This window comes from Homo sapiens, chromosome 11 (genome assembly GCF_000001405.40).
Source record: "Homo sapiens chromosome 11, GRCh38.p14 Primary Assembly".
NCBI lineage: Eukaryota > Metazoa > Chordata > Mammalia > Primates > Hominidae > Homo > Homo sapiens.
The window spans coordinates 2,909,513-2,926,402 of record NC_000011.10 but is presented as its reverse complement, the minus strand read 5'-3'; the positions used below and the strand labels follow the sequence as shown (position 1 = coordinate 2,926,402).

Sequence of the window (16,890 nt, the reverse complement as noted above, 5' to 3'; positions counted from 1 at the left end):
GCAGTGTCTGGTACGGTTCTGGGGTTCGGGTGGCTGGCAGTGTCTGGTACGGTTCTGGGGTTCGGGTGGCTGGCAGTGTCTGGTACGGTTCTGGGGTTCGGGTGGCTGGCAGTGTCTGGTGCGGTTCTGGGGTTCGGGTGGCTGGCAGTGTCTGGTGCGGTTCTGGGGTTCGGGTGGCTGGCAGTGTCTGGTGCGGTTCTGGGGTTCGGGTGGCTGGCACTGTCTGGTGCGGTTCTGGGGTTCGGGTGGCTGGCAGTGTCTGGTGCGGTTCTGGGGTTCGGGTGGCTGGCACTGTCTGGTGCGGTTCTGGGGTTCGGGTGGCTGGCAGTGTCTGGTGCGGTTCTGGGGTTCGGGTGGCTGGCAGTGTCTGGTGCGGTTCTGGGGTTCGGGTGGCTGGCAGTGTCTGGTGCGGTTCTGGGGTTCGGGTGGCTGGCAGCCTCCTTGGTACAGTTCTGCGACCAGGGTTTGGGTCTGTGTGCTGGACTGTTCAGCAGAATGAGGGCATTTTTCCTTCCATCTAGGAAGGCCTCAGTTCCCTGATCTTTTTTTTTTTTTTGAGATGGAGTCTCGCTCTGTTGCCAGGCTGGAATGCAATGATGGGATCTTGGCTCACTGCAACCTCCGCCTCCCGGGTTCAAGCGATTCTCCTGCCTCAGCCTCCCGAGTAGCTGGGACTATAGGCGTGCACCACCTCACCCAGCTAATTTTTTAAAAAATATTTTTAGAAGAGCCGGGGTTTCACCATGTTGGCCAGGATGGTCTCGATCTCTTGACCTCATGATCCTCCCGCCTCGGCCTCCCAAAGTACTGGGATTACAGGCGTGAGCCACTGCGCCCAGCCAGGTTCCCTGATCTTTTAAAGCAACCTGTTTCTGCTCTTGGGCAGGCACACTGTGGGCGGGAGTTGGGCAGTGAGCTCGCCATTGCTTGGGATGTGAGCAAGAGCTGTTTGTGTGGCAGCAGGGGGACCTCCTCCATGGGCGGACTCAGGGCTGTACTAATAACAGTGAACCAATTTGGGTGGTTCTGTCCTCCCCAGAGCTTTGCCCAGCTGTAGGCGCCCTCCTTGAGGAAGCCCTCCAGCCCGAGGCCCCATCCCTCACTGAAGGACGCAGGCAGACCATGCGTGAGCCTGCAGAAACCAGGCCGGAAGAGGTCGGAGGGATTTAGTAGGAGTTTATTGCCAGTCTGTGTCTGGGCAGCGGTCACCGGACTTTGTCCTTCCTCTGGGGCATAGGTTTCCTCCAGAGGACCAGGAGGACAAGGGTATTGATAGCAACCTGCACGTGGCCGAAGACGGGGACGCCAAAGCTGCGGTACAGGAGGCCGCCGACCGTGGGTCCCAGAGTTCGGAGCAGTGGTTGTACAGAGGCGCAGAGGCCCAGCATGGTCCCTGGGGGGTGCATGGGGGTAGTCAGGCCCTGGGCAGCTCCCTGGGCCAACTGCCCACTTCCTGAACACAGCCATGGCCTCCCATCTCTCCTGACCCACCCTGACCTCACGGCGCAGTCCGCACCTTGCATAGTCTGGTGAAATACTCCCCTGAACACCCATCCTTTCCACCTGCCAGCTTCTAACCTCCAGTCCCCCACCCCCTGCCACCCGCCCAGCCTTTGGAGCAAACACAGCTCTCTCTACCCACTGGTCTGTTCCCCGAGGACCTCTCAGCCATGCAGGGTGCTTCCCAGGGCATTGGGCTGAGTCTCTTCCCTGCTCCAGAAAGTTTCCAAGCACAGGAGGAGCCTGGGAATGGGACCACAGGTCACCGCAGAAGGCCCCGCCCTGCCAGGCCTGCCAAGGGAGATGGCATCTGTGCCTGGGGCCCGGAACCTCCCGCCCAGGCTGTCAGGGAGCTGGCTCTCACGGCTCTTTCCCAGGGTGCCTGCCACCACCGAGGGCTGGTGATGCAGTGGGGAGGCTAAGCCTGGCCTGTGAGACACCGTTGGGGCTTGAGTTCAGAGTGGGCATGACACCCCCATCCCACGGCCCCTCCTGGCCATCAGCCCTTCCTCCAGCCGCCCCACCCTGCGGAGCTCCTACTACTCCATGGAACTCCCCCTCACAGGGCTGGGAGGGGCTTTGGAAGCCCATGCAGGGCCCCTCCACCTGCCCCTCCTGTCCCCAGAGCAAGACCGAGCGGCTTCCGAGGCTCCCCAGACAGCCCCGACCTGCGCAGCAGCCTGCTCTGTCCCTGACACCGCATCTCCACGCCCCTGTGGCCAGCTACCCGCAGCATGGACGGGCACGTGGGCACTATCTGTGGCTGTTGTCAACACTCGGGCAACAAGGGGGGCAGCACTCGCCAAGCGGGAGGACCCCCCAGGACTCCAGGTGGGAGGACACTGCCTCTGGTCCCGTGCCCAGAGGGTCTCTGGCTCCAGGGACTTCAGAGCCCAGGTCTCCTGGAGTTGGAACTCCCAGGGCTGGTCAGCTGTGATGAGGAGCTGGCCAGGCCCCACCTGGGCTCAGGGCCCAGCATGGAGGACCATTAAGAGCAGCCTCTTCTGCAGACTCAGGGTGCAGTTCCTGCCCCTTCTGTCGCTGGGTTTCCAAGCTGCTGCTGGGAACCAGATGCTGGCTCCTACCAGGCCAGGGGTGGTGTCTGCGCATGACGTGGCCCAATGGCCTGGGCCTGGTCTCCCTCAGCCTCCAGGGGCCTCTTCCCAGCCAGGCCGGGTCCTCATCTCCCCAGGCCTTCCTCTCCTGTGCCATCCTCCTGGCCTCTCCAAAGTGCTGCCCAACCTCCTCCAGGAAGCCCTCCTGGCTCAGCCTGCATCAGCCCATGCACCATGGAGTCACAGTCCCCGAAGGCCTTGGAGGTTCCCAGGCAGCCCTGAGAATAGGCCTGCCCTTTGCAGCCCGGCCACATCCGGGCCTCTAGACCTTGGTCTGCTGCCTCCCAGACAGGCAGGTGGATGGAGTGTCAGATGTGTGCCCTGAGTTTCTGGATCTGCTGCCTCCCAGACAGGCAGGTGGATGGAGTGTCAGATGTGTGCCCTGAGTTTCTGGATCTGCTGCCTCCCAGACAGGCAGGTGGATGGAGTGTCAGATGTGTGCCCTGAGTTTCTGGATCTGCTGCCTCCCAGACAGGCAGGTGGATGGAGTGTCAGATGTGTGCCCTGAGCTTTCTGGATCTGCTGCTGGGGAGGCCTGGAAGAATCTCCAGTACTCCAAAGGACTCCTGAGTCCTTTGACCTCAACCAGCCCACAGGAGCCCCCTGCACTGGCCAGTGTGTACCCACACTGTGCCTGGGGTGGGGCAGGAGCCTGGATAACATCGGGCCCAGGACACCCCCAGTCTGCATGAGCGGCTCTCTTCGGCCTCAAGAAAGAAAGCTGGGTCGGAAGTGGGGACTGGGGGAATCTATGTCTAGGGGACCTGTGTCCCCTGCAGTGGCCTAGGGGATTCCTGGATTTAATTACTGGTATGCATTCATTCACTCCCTCATTCATTCAGGAAGCTCCTGAGCACTTGTGTGCCCCACTCCCCGTGCTGGGGGAGGGCCCAGAAGTCCCCGGGGCCTCCAGGCCTGGCAGGCAAAGTCCTCAGGTGCTTCTCAGGGCCAAGCCAACTGCCACCTGCGGGCAGCCCCCTCCCAGGCCCCTGGCCTGCCCCCAGCTGGGCTAGGTGGTAGGGCAGGAGTCTCATGCAAGACCCAGGCTCCCCACCTTACTCATCCCACACAGACCCCAAGCCCCCACCCCACCCACTCCACTCAACCCACACAGACCCCAGGCCCCCCACCCTACCCACCCCACACAGACCCTAGGCTGCCCACCCCATCCCCACCGGGTAGCTCCTAGGGCTTCCTGGAGGAGGCTGCTCCACTCGCTGGCCACACTCACCTGTGTCCGAGGTGGAGACAGCCTTGATCAGCATGCTGTCGGTGACCACGTTGAGGGTGCAGAGGCTGAACACCAGGCCGGGCACCAGGAGGCAGAAGTGGAAGACGCTGGACATCCAGGCCTGGGACGGCAGGCGGGGGCCGAGCTGAGTGGGGGCCTCACGGGACCAGGCTCCTCTCTGGGGTCTTACCTGTCCCTCCCCACCCTGACTGCTGTCCCTGCTGAAGAGCTGGCCCCGGGTGGGTGTGGGGGGCTGGAGGAGTCCCCAAGGGCTTAAGCACAGATGGTACCGCCCAGGTGGCCTTGCCCAGTGAGAGGGTCAGGTGAGTGGGCCCAAAGCGGGGAGCCCTCACCATGGCCAGGCCCACCACGATGAAGACCAGCACGCTGGCCCGGAGCAGCACCTCCTCCGAGAAGTGGCTGCTCAGCTGCCCGATGACCAGGCCCTGGGTCACCTAGAGCCAGACAGAGAGGGTAGAAGTGGGTATGGGGGAGGCGAGGGAGGGGCGTCTGGACTGTGGCCAGCCCCCAAAGCTGGGGACCTCCAGACTGGCCTGTGGTGGCCAGGGCCCCTCTGCAGAGAAGGCCCCTCAGCATCTGCAAGCCCCGGGGTCTCTCCCTACTCCGCCAGCAGTGACTGCGTCAGGATGGGTCTGAGATCCCTGAGGAGTCGGGGCTCCTCTCCACAAGGGAGGAAGGAAAGGCCCACACCAGGGACACCGGGGATGGGCTCGGTGGGACAGGCTCGGCCGCAGGCTGCTCCCGGGGATGGGCTCGGTGGGACAGGCTCGGCCGCAGGCTGCTCCCGGGGATGGGCTCGGTGGGACAGGCTCGGCCGCAGGCTGCTCCCGGGGATGGGCTCGGTGGGACAGGCTCGGCCGCAGGCTGCTCCCGGGGATGGGCTCGGTGGGACAGGCTCGGCCGCAGGCTGCTCCCGGGGATGGGCTCGGTGGGACAGGCTCGGCCGCAGGCTGCTCCCGGGGATGGGCTCGGTGGGACAGGCTTGGCCGCAGGCTGCTCCCAGGCCAGGGCGAGGCTCTCTATCTGGTCATCTCAGCTCCTCCACTAAGCAGGGCGTGCTGGGCCAACGCGCCTGGGAGTGCAGGGGTGGCCCCGGCTGGAGGAGCCCCTGGGCTCAGTATCTGCCCACAGGGCAGGCCCAGCCTGCAGCACCTCTGCAGGGGACCAGTCACCCTCCCAAATTCCTGCCAGGCAGAACAGAAACTGCTTCCAACCGGAACCATAAATGGTTTAAAAATCTTACTTTCACACTTGCTTTATCTTAGGGTTTTTTGGGATTTTAACACCTTTTTTTTTTTTTTTTTTGAGATGGCGTCTCGCTCTGTCGCCCAGCGTGGACTGCAGTGGCGCGATCTCGGCTCACTGCAAGCTCCGCCTCCCGGGTTCACGCCATTCTCCTGCGTCAGCCTCCCGAGTAGCTGGGACTACAGGTGCCTGCCACCAGGCCCGGCTAATTTTTTTTTTTTTTTTTGTATTTTTGGTAGAGACGGGGTTTCACCATGTTCGCCAGGATGGTCTCAATCTCCTGACCTTGGGATCCGCCCGCCTCGGTCTCCCAAAGTGCTGGGATTACAGGCGTGAGCCACCGCGCCCGGCCTAACACGTTTCTTAAAGGAAGAGCTGGCAAGCTCACTTCGTGCAGTGCGTCTAAGAGGGGCTCACAGTGAGTGCCGTGAAGGACTTCAGATCCAGGACTCAGACACCAAGGTCAGAAGCCTATTTGTGTTGCGTCTCAGTTTGCCCATTAAGTTTAAAAAAGCTTGAACTTAGGAGCCCTGCAGGTTGTGACATGAACCTGGAGCTAACAAGCTTGTCCCTGACCGGACTTGGGGTCTGGGGGCTACTCTGCGGGCCCCCTCCTTCCCCTCCTCAGCCTCCTCTCCCGCTGCTCAACCTGTGTCGGGGTCCCCATGCCTCACCCTGCTCCTTCCCCGTCCCTGGGCAGTTCACCAGGCCCAGTTCCTGCGAGGGTGCCCCGACGGTGTTGGTCACCACCCCAGCTCTGTCTGTCTCAGGCAGGGTCCCCACTGCAGCCATGGCAGGCCCAAGTCCCCCACAACACAGGCCAATGACTGCTGTGTCCAGCCCAGCTGCAGGCTTCAGCCAGGGCCTGGCTAAGCGTCCTTCCTCGCAGTGAGCTGGGCGCAGCCTGTTCAGAACAGGCCCCATGGCAACAACCCCGGATTGTTACTATTATTGTTGCTGTTGTTTTTCTGTTTATCTCTTTTTACCCTGCCAGGGTGGCCCCTCCTGCCCCAAAAAGCAGAGGCCCTCTCTGCCCACGGTGGGGGTCCAGCCCCTCCCAGGAGCAGCTATTTTAGCACTAGTCTAGTCCTGGGCCCAGAGGCTGAAGAGCAGATGGCTTGGAGGTGCCAGGAATGCCACAGGCTTCCGGAGAGGCCGAGAGCCCCCACCCCCACCCTGGCGGGTCCCAGAATAGCCCCCCCGCCCCGCACTCTGGCTGTCAGGCAGCCATCCTGGGTGGTGGCAAATCATCACCTGTCCCCACCACCCAGGGTCTGGTCCAGAAGCCCAGAGGAGCTGGTGGTGGAGGTGTCTCGCCCCGGCCCGGGAGCTGAGCGGTTCTGGGGGGCTGGCAGACAGACACCTGCCGCATCGGAGCTGCCAGGGTTTCAGGGCATCCTTCCATGACAGTGTGGCCTCTGAGGGCTGGCGTCTTATCCTACCATGACAGCGTGGCCTCTGAGGGCTGGCGTCTTGCTCCTATGGGACCTCCAAAGGGGCCCACGCTGGTCTAACCACTTTGCCACGTTAGGTCATCTCATCTGCCAAGGACCCTGCAAGGCGGGCACTTTGGCCTCATGGGACAGATTTGGAGAGTTTGGGAGACTTGCTCTGGTCACACAGCTGGTGGGCAGGTGGGCTGCCACAGATCCCAGCCAGCTGCCCATCAGAGGCCGGAGTCCACTGTCCTCACAGCGTGCCCACCACTGCAGTTGGCTCTCCCTCCCTGGCCTGTATGCCTGGTTCCCTGTGGACCCTGACATGTGCCAGATGGGAGGCCAAGGGCTCCCCAGCCTCCGCCGGGGAGGAGCCTCTACTCTCAGAGGCCTGCCCCACTGGAGACCCCTGCCGTGCCCCCCAGCAGGCCCTGTGTGCCCACTCACCATCTGGAGGAGCCCGAAGAAGGACATGAGGTAGCCAGCTTGGGCGGCCTCCAGCTGGAAGAAGTCCATGGAGATGATGGAGAACATGACCATGAAGAGCCCTGAGCCGGGGCAGGGGAACAGGGGTGAGTACCCCCACACCCCGACCTTGGCGCCCACCTCCCTCCCGCCTCAGCAGCCTGGCCAATCAGGGTGTCTGGGCCCTGGCTGGTGACTGGTTCAGGGAGGGGCCTGTGATGCCAGCCGGGCCAATGAGACCCTTCCCTGGGATTCTGCCGTATCCCTGGTGTGGAAAGTGCCTCTCGTGTGGTTGCTAAGCTCTGGACTGTGAGCAGGAAGGTGCTGGAAGGGAGGGACCCAGGGCTGACCACGTGGGAGGATTTGGCCCCCAAGACCCACCACGGCTCTCTGTTATAAGAGCCCTCAAAGTCACGTCTGCAATCCCAGCACTTTGGGAGGCCGAAGAGGGAGGACTGATTGAGGCCAGGAGTTTGAGACCAGCCTGGAAAAGATAGTGAGACCCTGTCTCTACAAACACTTAAATTAGCTGAGCGTGGTGGCCCATGCCTGTAGTCCCAGCTGCTCGGGAGGCTGAGACAGGAGGATTGCTTGAGCCTGGGAGGTGGGGCCTACAGTGAGCTGAGATCATACCACTGCACTCCAGCCTGGTCAGTGGTCTCAAAAAAAAAAGGGCCCTCAAAGGGCCTGTTACTGAGGTTAGTAACTTGGGTTCCAGTTTTGAGAACCAACAGAGCTGGCCTAGGTGGGCTGGGTGGGACAGGGGCCGGTGCCAGTTGGAGTGCTGAGGGCCTATTCTCCATCCTGCTTCCTGGCTTCTCAGTTAGAGGAGTCCAGGCGGGGCTTCTGAGGGACAGGGCTGCTCGTGGGCTTGTCCGTGGCTCGCTATCCTATCTGTGGTCCGTGACGCCCTACGGTCTGCTGAGAGGGCCCAGGGCCAGCATGCTGCAGAAGGCAGTGGTGACACTCAGACCTGCTGTCCCTGCATCTCAGGCTGTCTGGAGAGGACGTGGGGCCACAGGGTATGAGGGTAAGAGCTGAGGAGCACACAGGGATGCATGGCTGCGAGCCAGGCCCTCTGCCCGTGGGGGCCCACCCTGGGATCTGCAGGTGTGCAGTGTAGAGGGGCTGGAAGGAGGTGGGAAAGACACTTTTCTGCCTTCCTCCCGCTCCTGCCTGCTCTACCACATCTGTGTGGACCTGTGGGGCACAGGCCAGAGGAAGGGCCGGGCCCTGGCCGCAGCTGGGACTCTGCCAGGCTCTGGCCGCTGTTGGGGCAGTAGTTGGGACTCACCTGTGGGGCAGTTGGAGGCCACCTTCACCAGGAAGATCCTCGGGACGTCTGGCAGCCGCAGCAGGGAGGCGATGGCCTTCAGGTCGAACACACTGGCCCGGGGGCCGCCTGGCACGGAGAGGCCATTCAGGCCTGCAAAGGCCATTGTCCCAATGCCCACCCCTCGCCCGGCTGCAGGCCTCGCCATTCGGAGGGCCCTGTTGCGCCCGCCAGGGTAAAGCTTCCTTCCTTGGCTTCAGCACCGCTCACTTGTGGGAATGGGAGCTGGTGATGCTCCCAGCTGCCAGGTTGGGCACCGCCCCTCAGCACACTTCTACGCATTCCTAGGGGCCCCCTGAATCCCCAGAGGCACTTAGGAAAAGCATTCTCTGCACGCAGGTAGACTGGCCTCAACCTGGGCATGCAGTGGCGGAGGCCTGCGGCAGTCCCTGAACAAGGGACCAATAGCTGCTTCCTATATGGTCCTGGCCTGGGGCCTGGGGCAGAGCATGACCAGGCCACCAGCCCAGAGGAAGACAATGGCAATACTGTACCACTCTCTGTGGCCACAAGTCACCGCCGTGGCCTGGCCCACCGGGCACCTCTGAGTGCGAAGCCACAGGCCCCCAGCCCGGCTCACCGAGTCCTTCCTCCTTATTGTCTCAGGGGCTCCTGCCTCTCTGGCTCTGCTGTGCTCGCCACAGGCCCATCTCCACCCGGCCCTCCCCCTGGACTTTCTAGGTTAATTCCATGACAGCCTCCTGCCCCAGGATGGTCCCAGGTGGGTCCCTCTGGCCCAGGCTGGGCTCTTAGTCCCTAGGCACCGAGGCATGGGCCCTGCCACGTGCCTGGCACAAAGGGGCTGCGTTCAGCAGGGGGCCAGCCTTGAGGGGACCCCCTCTGAGGAGCCTTGGCCTCTCCTCATGGGACCAGCCTGACCATCCTCTGCCCTCCACCAATGAGTGCCCCTCGGGCAGCACCCTCGCCTCTCCCTGGACACTCAGAGCTTCCGGAGCCTTGCTGGCCCACCCACCCCATTGGGGGGGTCCCTCCTGGTCCTCCCCAGGCCTCTCTGGGCCTCCCCTCCTAGCACCTTCCCTGTCTGGGCCTCCCCTCCTAACGCCTTCCCTGTCTGGGCCTTCCTGCCTCTCTGGGCCTCCCTGCCTGCCGGAGCCCCACTTCCACCTCTTCATGACCACACCTCACTTGGCTTCTATGATGTCAGCAGCTGGGAAGGGTTCAAGGAAGGCAGGAGGGTGTGAGTAGCCCCCAGATTTCCCCTCAGGCCCCCCGTACCCCTTGGCTGGAGCACGCAGGCCTAGCCAATGCCTTCCATTGCCCCAGCATCTGGGCAGGGTGTACCTGGCGGGGCTTACCTGGCAGTGGAGCCTGGGCGTCAGTTTTGGCCCCTTTGGTGCTGGCGGGGATGCAGGTGAAGCTGAGGACAGCTCCCAGGAGGGTGGCCAGGGCAGCCAGGATGGCCGGGCACTGAATCCTGCGGGCAACAGCCTCGGCTGCACAGGGTGCGGGTCCCAGGGCCCAGGCGCCCCAGCCACATCCCCCAACCTGCACCTTTGGTTGCACTAAAATAGCTTAAATCTGACCTCCCACATCCCCACAGTCTGTGGCCTAAAGAGTGGGGACTGGGACCCTCAGAGCACATTTATTAGGTGATGGATGAAGGAATGGGTGGGGCGCTCACCATCCCTGACCCTCGCCACGCCATGCAGGCCCCGGCAGCCCCTGTGGGTAGCAGCTGTGGAAGCCAGGCTGGTGAGCGCCTGGGGCAGGTGGCGGATCCTCCCAGGAACAGCAGCTCCCACGCTGGCCAAGGTCAGGAGAGGCTCCAAAGGGCAAGCCTGGTGTGCATGTCCCTGGGAGGGGCTCTCCGAGACCTGGGCACCTGTGCTGTGTCATGGGGATGGCTATGCTGCCTCCCCAGCGTGGGCAAGGGTGGGCCTGGCATTCAGCAGGCCCTCAGAAACCGACCCCCCTCCTGTTGGCCCCTCCCCACTTTCTAGAGTGTGGGGCATGCTGGGCTTGGAGGGGGCTTTGGGCTGGGATCCCAGAGCCTTGCAAAGCCCCGGAGGTGCCCCTCAGGCTGCTTTGCCACCTTCCCACCTTCCTGGGCCACTACCAAGGCCTGGGACTCTGGCTGTACCGTCAGCTTCCCTGCCATGAGTCCCCACCTGGAAACTTGGCCTGTGATTCCCCTGGAAGGAATCGGCAGGTCTTGTCTCCTGGGGACGGAGGCACCTGAAGCTGGCTGTTCCAACTGTCACCATTGCCTCCTGGGGGCTCAGCCAGCCCCCTCCCCTCAGGGAGAGACAGGAGGAAGTTGGGGCTTCCTACTGAGCTCGTCTGTAAGGCCTCCAGGCCTGTGCCGGACCGCCACGGCCTTCCTCTCAGCAGCTGAGCAAACTCCTATACAGCCTGCAAGGGCCCTTCTTGGTGAGGCCCCAGCCCTCCTTCCCAGACAGCATGCCATCTGAGAAGGACTCGCTTTACCAGCTGGCTAGAATCTGGCCCCTGAGGGCAGGTGGTCCAGGGTTGGACCCTGCGCGGAGACCGCAGTGATCATTAGATGATCGGACAAATGTGTGAGCCATTCACACACGCAGCACAAGTTCTGCCCCAACCTCAACAGATCCTCCAAATCTGCCCTGGCCAGGGCCTCAGGGCACAGGCACCCAGTAGGGGTCAGGGTCCTGGAAGATGCCCTTGCACCCAAAAACAAGGCCAGCCACAGGCCACCATGTCCCCACCAAGGAGTTCAAAGAAAGGACTTTCCTCGCCCCTCTTCACCGCAGCCACATGCGCACACACACACACACACGGGCAAACTTGTACACACACTTACCTGCATCCGTTTGCCAGAGCAAGGAGGGGACTTGGAGCCACACTGACTAGGACAGTCAGTGGGGCCACCTCTGAGTCCAGAGAGTCTGGGCATTGGCCACCCCTCATTTCTGAGGTGGGACCCCTAAGCTCACATCAGTCTAGGGGGGTGCTGGCATATCCACCCCACCTGTGCTGCTGCCCCCGCCAATCCATCAGGGCAGCTCCGACTCCTGCAGCACCCACCGCCCAGGACGTCAGCTACTCAGGTTTTCTGGCTGCTGGGGTTCCGCACGAATGGGCCCTTCCTTTGGGAAAATGCCAGGGAAGGGGAACGGCTGGGCTCGGGCGCCACAGCTTGTCCCTCCAGCCAGCAGGCACAGATGTATGGCGCAGGAGGGACAACTGGCCCCTGTGGCCAGCCCCAGAGAGACGGGCCCTTTCTTTGGGACCCTGGCCTCAGAGGCCTGCGTGTCACAGCTCAGGGTCTGGCTGGGCAGGGGCAAAACCTGCCTTATTTGCCAGATGTCCCAGAAGTACACAGGAGCAGACGCACCACTTCGATGGCTATTTTAGGAGGCTGGTGACAAGCAAGGCATGGTGGCAGGAAGCCAGGCCCTCGAGCGGTGGTGGGTAAACCAAAGGCCTGTGCTGCTGTGGGCAACAGGAAAGCCTGGGGCTGGGGGACCCTGGAGGGCCCCAGGAGGTAGGGAGTCAGGTCCCACCACTGTGCCAGGGGCCGTGGGTGGCTGCTGGGGGAGACGCAGGCTGTCCTTCCCCAGTCACAGCTCTCCTGCTCCCCAAAAATGAACTGCCAGGAGGGAAACGGGAGTGGGAAGGAAATCCAGCACGCTGGCCCCAGCCCTGGGGCCTCTGCACGCCGGACAGCCTGGGCATCCCCCGGGACCATTGACTGGAAGCACCCTTAGCACGGTGCCGTCAGCCCCTCCTGCTCAGCCCCCCTCAACCTCACCACGACCTGCCAGACGCAGGGGCACGCTGGCTTCCCGGGGCTCATCCAACACTTTTATCAGTGGAGCCACGACCAGGAAGGTGGGGACAGGTTAATTTGTCTTTGTCTCCTCCTGCTCTTTCAGTTGAATGGATTACAGGAGTGTCTGTCTGGATGCTGTTGAAAGGACACTGGACAGGACTCAGGGGACCCACAGCCTCTGTCCCTTCTCTGCCGCTTACCTGCTAGGTGACCTCATTTCCTTATATGCAAATGAGGGCTGGGTTCACAGCTGCCGGCTGCCCCTAACTCCACTGTTCTGGGGCCCCTCTGGACCTGCAGGGCGCAGCCCACCTGCATCCTGCCCACCAACCGCAGCCCACACCTGAGGCTGCCCAGATAGCAGGGCGTGGAGTTGGCTTTCAATCGCGTCTCCAGGAACCTCTGCTGAAGTCTGGGCTTCTGTGTGTTCTACGGTGACAAGCCCTCATCAAGCCTCACCTTACTCTGAGGCTCTGAAAGGGGACGCACAAGGTGACAGCATGTGCCCAGGTCATCCTGCTGCCAGGAGCGAACCCACAGGTGGGGCTGAGGCTAGGTCAGCTGGGACCTGGCTTTGTGGGACACCTAGCTCACAAGACGATGGGGCAGGGGGCTGTCCAGAGCGTCCCTGGATGTCCAGCCCAGGGCTGAGAGAAGTCATCCGTGCTCCAGGATGCTGCAGTTAGAACCATGTTTGAAAATGAACATCTTGCCATGCCACTCCTAACGCAGCTGCCGTCTGGCTTCCAGCGTGCCCCAGAAGGTCCTAAAGGCCCCTCTGGCCTGACCCTTCCCAGTCCTCGTGTCTCCTCGTACCTGGTCCCCCCATTCCCCAAACACATAGCCCTCCAACCAAACCACAAGCTCCCTCCTGCCCCAAATGGGCTCTGAGACTGGAGTGACTCACGGGCCCAGCAGGAGGCCTGTCCAGCCTGCTGCTCAACAGGGCTGTCCTGAGGGACAGCGGGGCCAGAACCATCTCAGCGGGGCCTGCTGCCTGCCCACTGTGGGAAGAACAGAAAGAACCGGAGTGTCCTGGGCACTGCGAGGTACACGAACTAAGGCAGTAGCTGAGTCACCTGGCTGGGGGGGCGGCGGGCCTGGGTCGCCCATATCCTGCTGCTCCCTCAGCTGCCTGCCAGCCCCTGCCCTGCATCTATCTGCCCCCGAGAGCCTCTTCCCTGTACAGCAGGTGCCCTGTTACAAACACCCCTGCACTCCTCAGCCTCCGCTCAGCGCTTGGGGTGCCCTGGGTCGTATGGGACACTGCTCACCTCCCCTCCCATCCCCTCCTCCCTCTCTGAGCTCCAGTGCCCCTGGCTCCTTGTTTTTTCTTGGCTGGGCAGGGGTGTCCTGCCCACAGGGCCCTGGCACCCCCATGGCACCGGCATGGCCCTGGTGGCTGCCTGTCCACCTGGGGAAGGCAAACCCTGCAGGGCTCCCTGCTGTCTGGCTCAGGATAGGACTCTATGGCCCCTCCCCATCCCTCCCCAGTCTGTGAGGGGCTGGGCTCAGAACATGAGTCACAGAGCCACCCCCCACCCAGCGTGTGTGCAGTGACTCAGGTCCCGGGTCCCTCCTCAGGCCAGCCTGGCCTCTCAGCCCTGGGCTCTGGAGGCTGGGCCCAAACCAGTTATACCAGTGCCCGCCCCCGCAGCCTGTGGGTGCCAAGTCCACTTCCTCCTCCCACCTGCTGCCCAGGTGGGTGCGGATGAGGCAGGACTGGGGCCTTCCAGAGGAATGGGATACACAGGTGGGTGGGCAGGGAGGGAAAGCCCACACATGTTGTGCCTCGGTTTCCATCAAGGAAGGGCAGGAAGGCTGCAAGGCGGGGGATGTTCACAGCTGCACCAGACTCCTGCCCCGCACCAGGCCAGGAGCCAGAACAGGCTGCAGGCGTTGGGGCAGCTGGACCAAGAGGGCCAGGGGGCTGGCCCTTGCCATGGGGCACCAGGCTTTGGAGCCTGGCTGGCACCTGGCCCCACTGCCTTCGGTGAGCCCCCGAGGGGGAGGTGTGGGCCTCCCTCACCCTGTCTGGGTTGGACAAAGGCAGATTACCAGCCACAAGGTCAACCCCGCAGCCCTCCTGTGCCACCACCACTCTGGGCAGCCAGCTTTTGCCACAGTGCCCAAGCAGCACCCCGTGTCTTGGGTGTGGTATGAGGAACCTGAGGGAGTCCCACACTGCCTGGGCCTTGGACGGGGACTGGGGAGCTCCATGGAGGGAGCCTCATCATCTCCTGGGCCTCGGTTACCCCTCCCATCAAAGGAAATGTCACAGCTGGTCTGATTATGAAACGTCAAGATTGTAAAGCGCCTCAGATCTTGGGATGAATGGAGGCAGGGAAGCGAATGGAATGTTCTGGCAGGTGTGGGCAGAGGTAGAGGCCGTCTTGGCAGCTACTGGGAGGGAGAGGGACATGAGTGGTGTCTTCTGGGTCAGCAGCTGTGATGGGGGAAAGGGCAGGTGAGGACAGGAGGGGACCTGTGGCCTCGTAGACGGGCCTGCAGGAGGCATGTGTGCTGAGCTGCTCCAGCACCATGGCCACGGCTTACTGCCTGAGCGAGCTCGGACCCTCCCAGCATCGTTGTGGGTGAGTAAGGGCAGGGGAGGGCCCATTTCATAGGTGAGGAAGGCTGGCCAGGGAAGGAGGCGGCAGCAGGCGGCTGGGCCCTGAGCCGGCAGAGTACCTGGGGGTGGGCAGCACCCTGGGATGGCAGCCGCCCAGCTCAGCCACCTGCTGGGGCCCAGTGCTCCTCCCCGTGCCCTCCTCACGCCCTTCCTCACCCTGGCCACCCTGGAGAGACAGGCCCTGGGTGGTGCCGGCTCCCCACACCTCACACCTGCCAGCCCCCTGGCCCCAGGGTGAGCCGTCCCTGCTGTCCCACCAGAGCTGCCCACACAAGTGCCCTAAGCCCCATCCTCCAGGGACACCCTCCCAGCAGTGTGCTTGGCTCCCACATCAGCCCTTCCCTCTCCCTGGGGCGCCTCCCCATGGCTCCTCCCACCCTGAGCATAGCCTCCTGGACCCACCTCTGCCCCCATTTATAGCACGACTTCCCGACCCCCTCTCTTTTCTCCCCATTTCCCTTGATCCGTCTATTGCATGAGGCTTCTGCGGCTGGCACTGACTTGAGGGGGTGGTGCTGGTCCAGCACTGGGGTGGCCTCCCTGCTGCAGATGGTGGGCCACTGTGGCTTCCTTGGCCACCAGCGGTAGAGGCACGGGTCCCTGACCCCCACAAATCCAGTGGCCCTTGGCTCCCAGGACGTGCTCCCTCCTCACCTCCCAGCCCCGAAACATGAAGTGCTGGGGGGCGCAGGGCTCCGAGCCATCCACACTTGAAGATGCACCCCATTTCTCCCCCTTATCTGGGTGCCTACTCAGTAGCTCCCTGGAGTGCCTGACAGGCACCCAGGCTGGGCCTGAACAAGACCCAAATCCCAGTGGCACCCCAGGCTGCTTGGGCCTCTGCGCAAGGCGCCAGGCTCCCCAGGGTCAGGCACGGCCTTGGCACTGCCATCTTGAGTTCCCACCCACATCCCACCCACTGGCAAAACCCAGCCAGAATCTACCCTCTGCTTTCTCTCATCACGGTCCCCTCTGGTCCAGCCACTGTCCTCCCCCACCTCGGCCGGCACAATGGCTGTCCTACCGGTCTCCCTGCAGGGGAGCTCACCCCCCATTCTCACCCCTGCTGTGCCACCCAGGGCACCCCGGCCTGGTGCCTGCCCCTTCTTCCTCCCTCCAGCCACACGGCCCCCTGGCTTCCACACCCAGGGCCTCTGCACCGTGGTTTCTTTGCCTCCCTCTCCTGCTTCAGGCCTCGACTCAGATGCCGCCTCCTCAGACAGGCCCTAGTGATCCCATCCATCGAGCCCCCAGTTCTACTTTGTGACTTTTTGCTCCATGTAGCTCAGCCTGATGTTACGGGAATTCCTATCACATTCCCTTCATCCCAGGGACTCAGCCTGTGTTGTCTGCCGCTGTATTCTAGAACCAGAGTCCTGGGGGCAATGTTGAGGTGTTCAAACTACCCACCCCACCCCACTCCACCTCCTGCTCACAGCCATCAGCAGCCATCAGTCCCCAGCCCAGGCTCCAGTGAAAATGCTGGGAGAACGTTCGGGGACTCAAACAAGGCCGGCAGCACAGCCCTAGAGACCTCCGGAGAGGGAGGTGTGCTCTGGGCACCGTCCAACAGCTCAGCCCCGCTGCCACAGCATCCCAGTCCCAGGGTGCTCCTGTCCCCAGCAGGAGGCTGCTGGGAGGCCTCCCTCCTCTCAGGGCCTCAGTTTCCCCAGCGTCCCAGTGGGGCTGTGCGTGGACAGCTTGGCAGTCCAGTCGCGCCCCGGACAGCACTGGGACATCACCTGGCCCTATCCAGGGCCAGCCAGCCCGGGAGGTCAGGCCTAGGCCTCGCGCGGGGCCAGACGTCCCCAGTAGCCACATCACGTGGCCACTCGCGCCCCACGAGCAAAAGAGGAAACCGAGGCCAAGAGGAGGCGGGGCGGGGCCGACCCAGCCGCGGGCGTCCTGACCCACAGACTCCGCCCCGGCCCCCACCACTCACCCGTACGCGGAGACCAGGGTCCCGCCCAGCAGGGAGCCGAGGATGACTCCGACGCCGAAGCAGAGGCCCAGCCGGCCCAGGGCCGCGGGCCGCTCCTCGGGTGCCGACAGGTCCGTGATGACCATCTGGGCGGCTGGGGACGGGGCGGGGGAGCTGAGCGGCGAAAGCCCCTCGGTGGGGCCCTTCCCCCCCTGACCC

At 63.1% G+C, this 16,890-nt stretch overlaps 1 protein-coding gene across 9 annotated transcripts in view, besides 2 other annotated features; it reads right to left on the bottom strand.

Annotated features, from left to right (window-relative positions):
* The window catches only part of SLC67A1 (solute carrier family 67 member 1), a 25,556-nt gene continuing 9,822 nt past the window's right edge, over positions 1,157-16,890 (bottom strand). For 4 of the 9 annotated variants that reach the window (NM_183233.3, XM_047427033.1, NM_002555.6 and 1 more), the window contains exons 5-11: positions 16,693-16,825; positions 9,663-9,781; positions 8,308-8,415; positions 6,996-7,096; positions 4,200-4,301; positions 3,847-3,967; positions 1,157-1,393 (exon numbers count right to left, since the gene is read on the bottom strand). In NM_183233.3, coding sequence (NP_899056.2) covers positions 1,206-1,393; positions 3,847-3,967; positions 4,200-4,301; positions 6,996-7,096; positions 8,308-8,415; positions 9,663-9,781; positions 16,693-16,825 — 872 coding nt within the window. In that variant the 3' untranslated portion in view covers positions 1,157-1,205. Of the gene's footprint in view, positions 1,394-3,846; positions 3,968-4,199; positions 4,302-4,612; positions 6,687-6,995; positions 7,097-8,307; positions 8,416-9,662; positions 9,782-9,988; positions 11,615-16,692; positions 16,826-16,890 lie in introns of those variants that run through there. The other 5 variants (XM_047427034.1, XM_047427035.1, NM_001315502.2 and 2 more) reach the window with 5 other exon arrangements.
* Positions 11,475-12,176: an enhancer, noted in NCBI's record as "H3K4me1 hESC enhancer chr11:2935457-2936158 (GRCh37/hg19 assembly coordinates)". NCBI's record gives its function as "activates a minimal SCP1, AML or CMV promoter by ChIP-STARR-seq in primed H9 embryonic stem cells {active_cell/tissue: H9 hESC(primed)}" and the evidence as "EXISTENCE:reporter gene assay evidence [ECO:0000049][PMID:30033119]".
* Positions 13,585-14,288: an enhancer, noted in NCBI's record as "H3K4me1 hESC enhancer chr11:2933345-2934048 (GRCh37/hg19 assembly coordinates)". NCBI's record gives its function as "activates a minimal SCP1, AML or CMV promoter by ChIP-STARR-seq in primed H9 embryonic stem cells {active_cell/tissue: H9 hESC(primed)}" and the evidence as "EXISTENCE:reporter gene assay evidence [ECO:0000049][PMID:30033119]".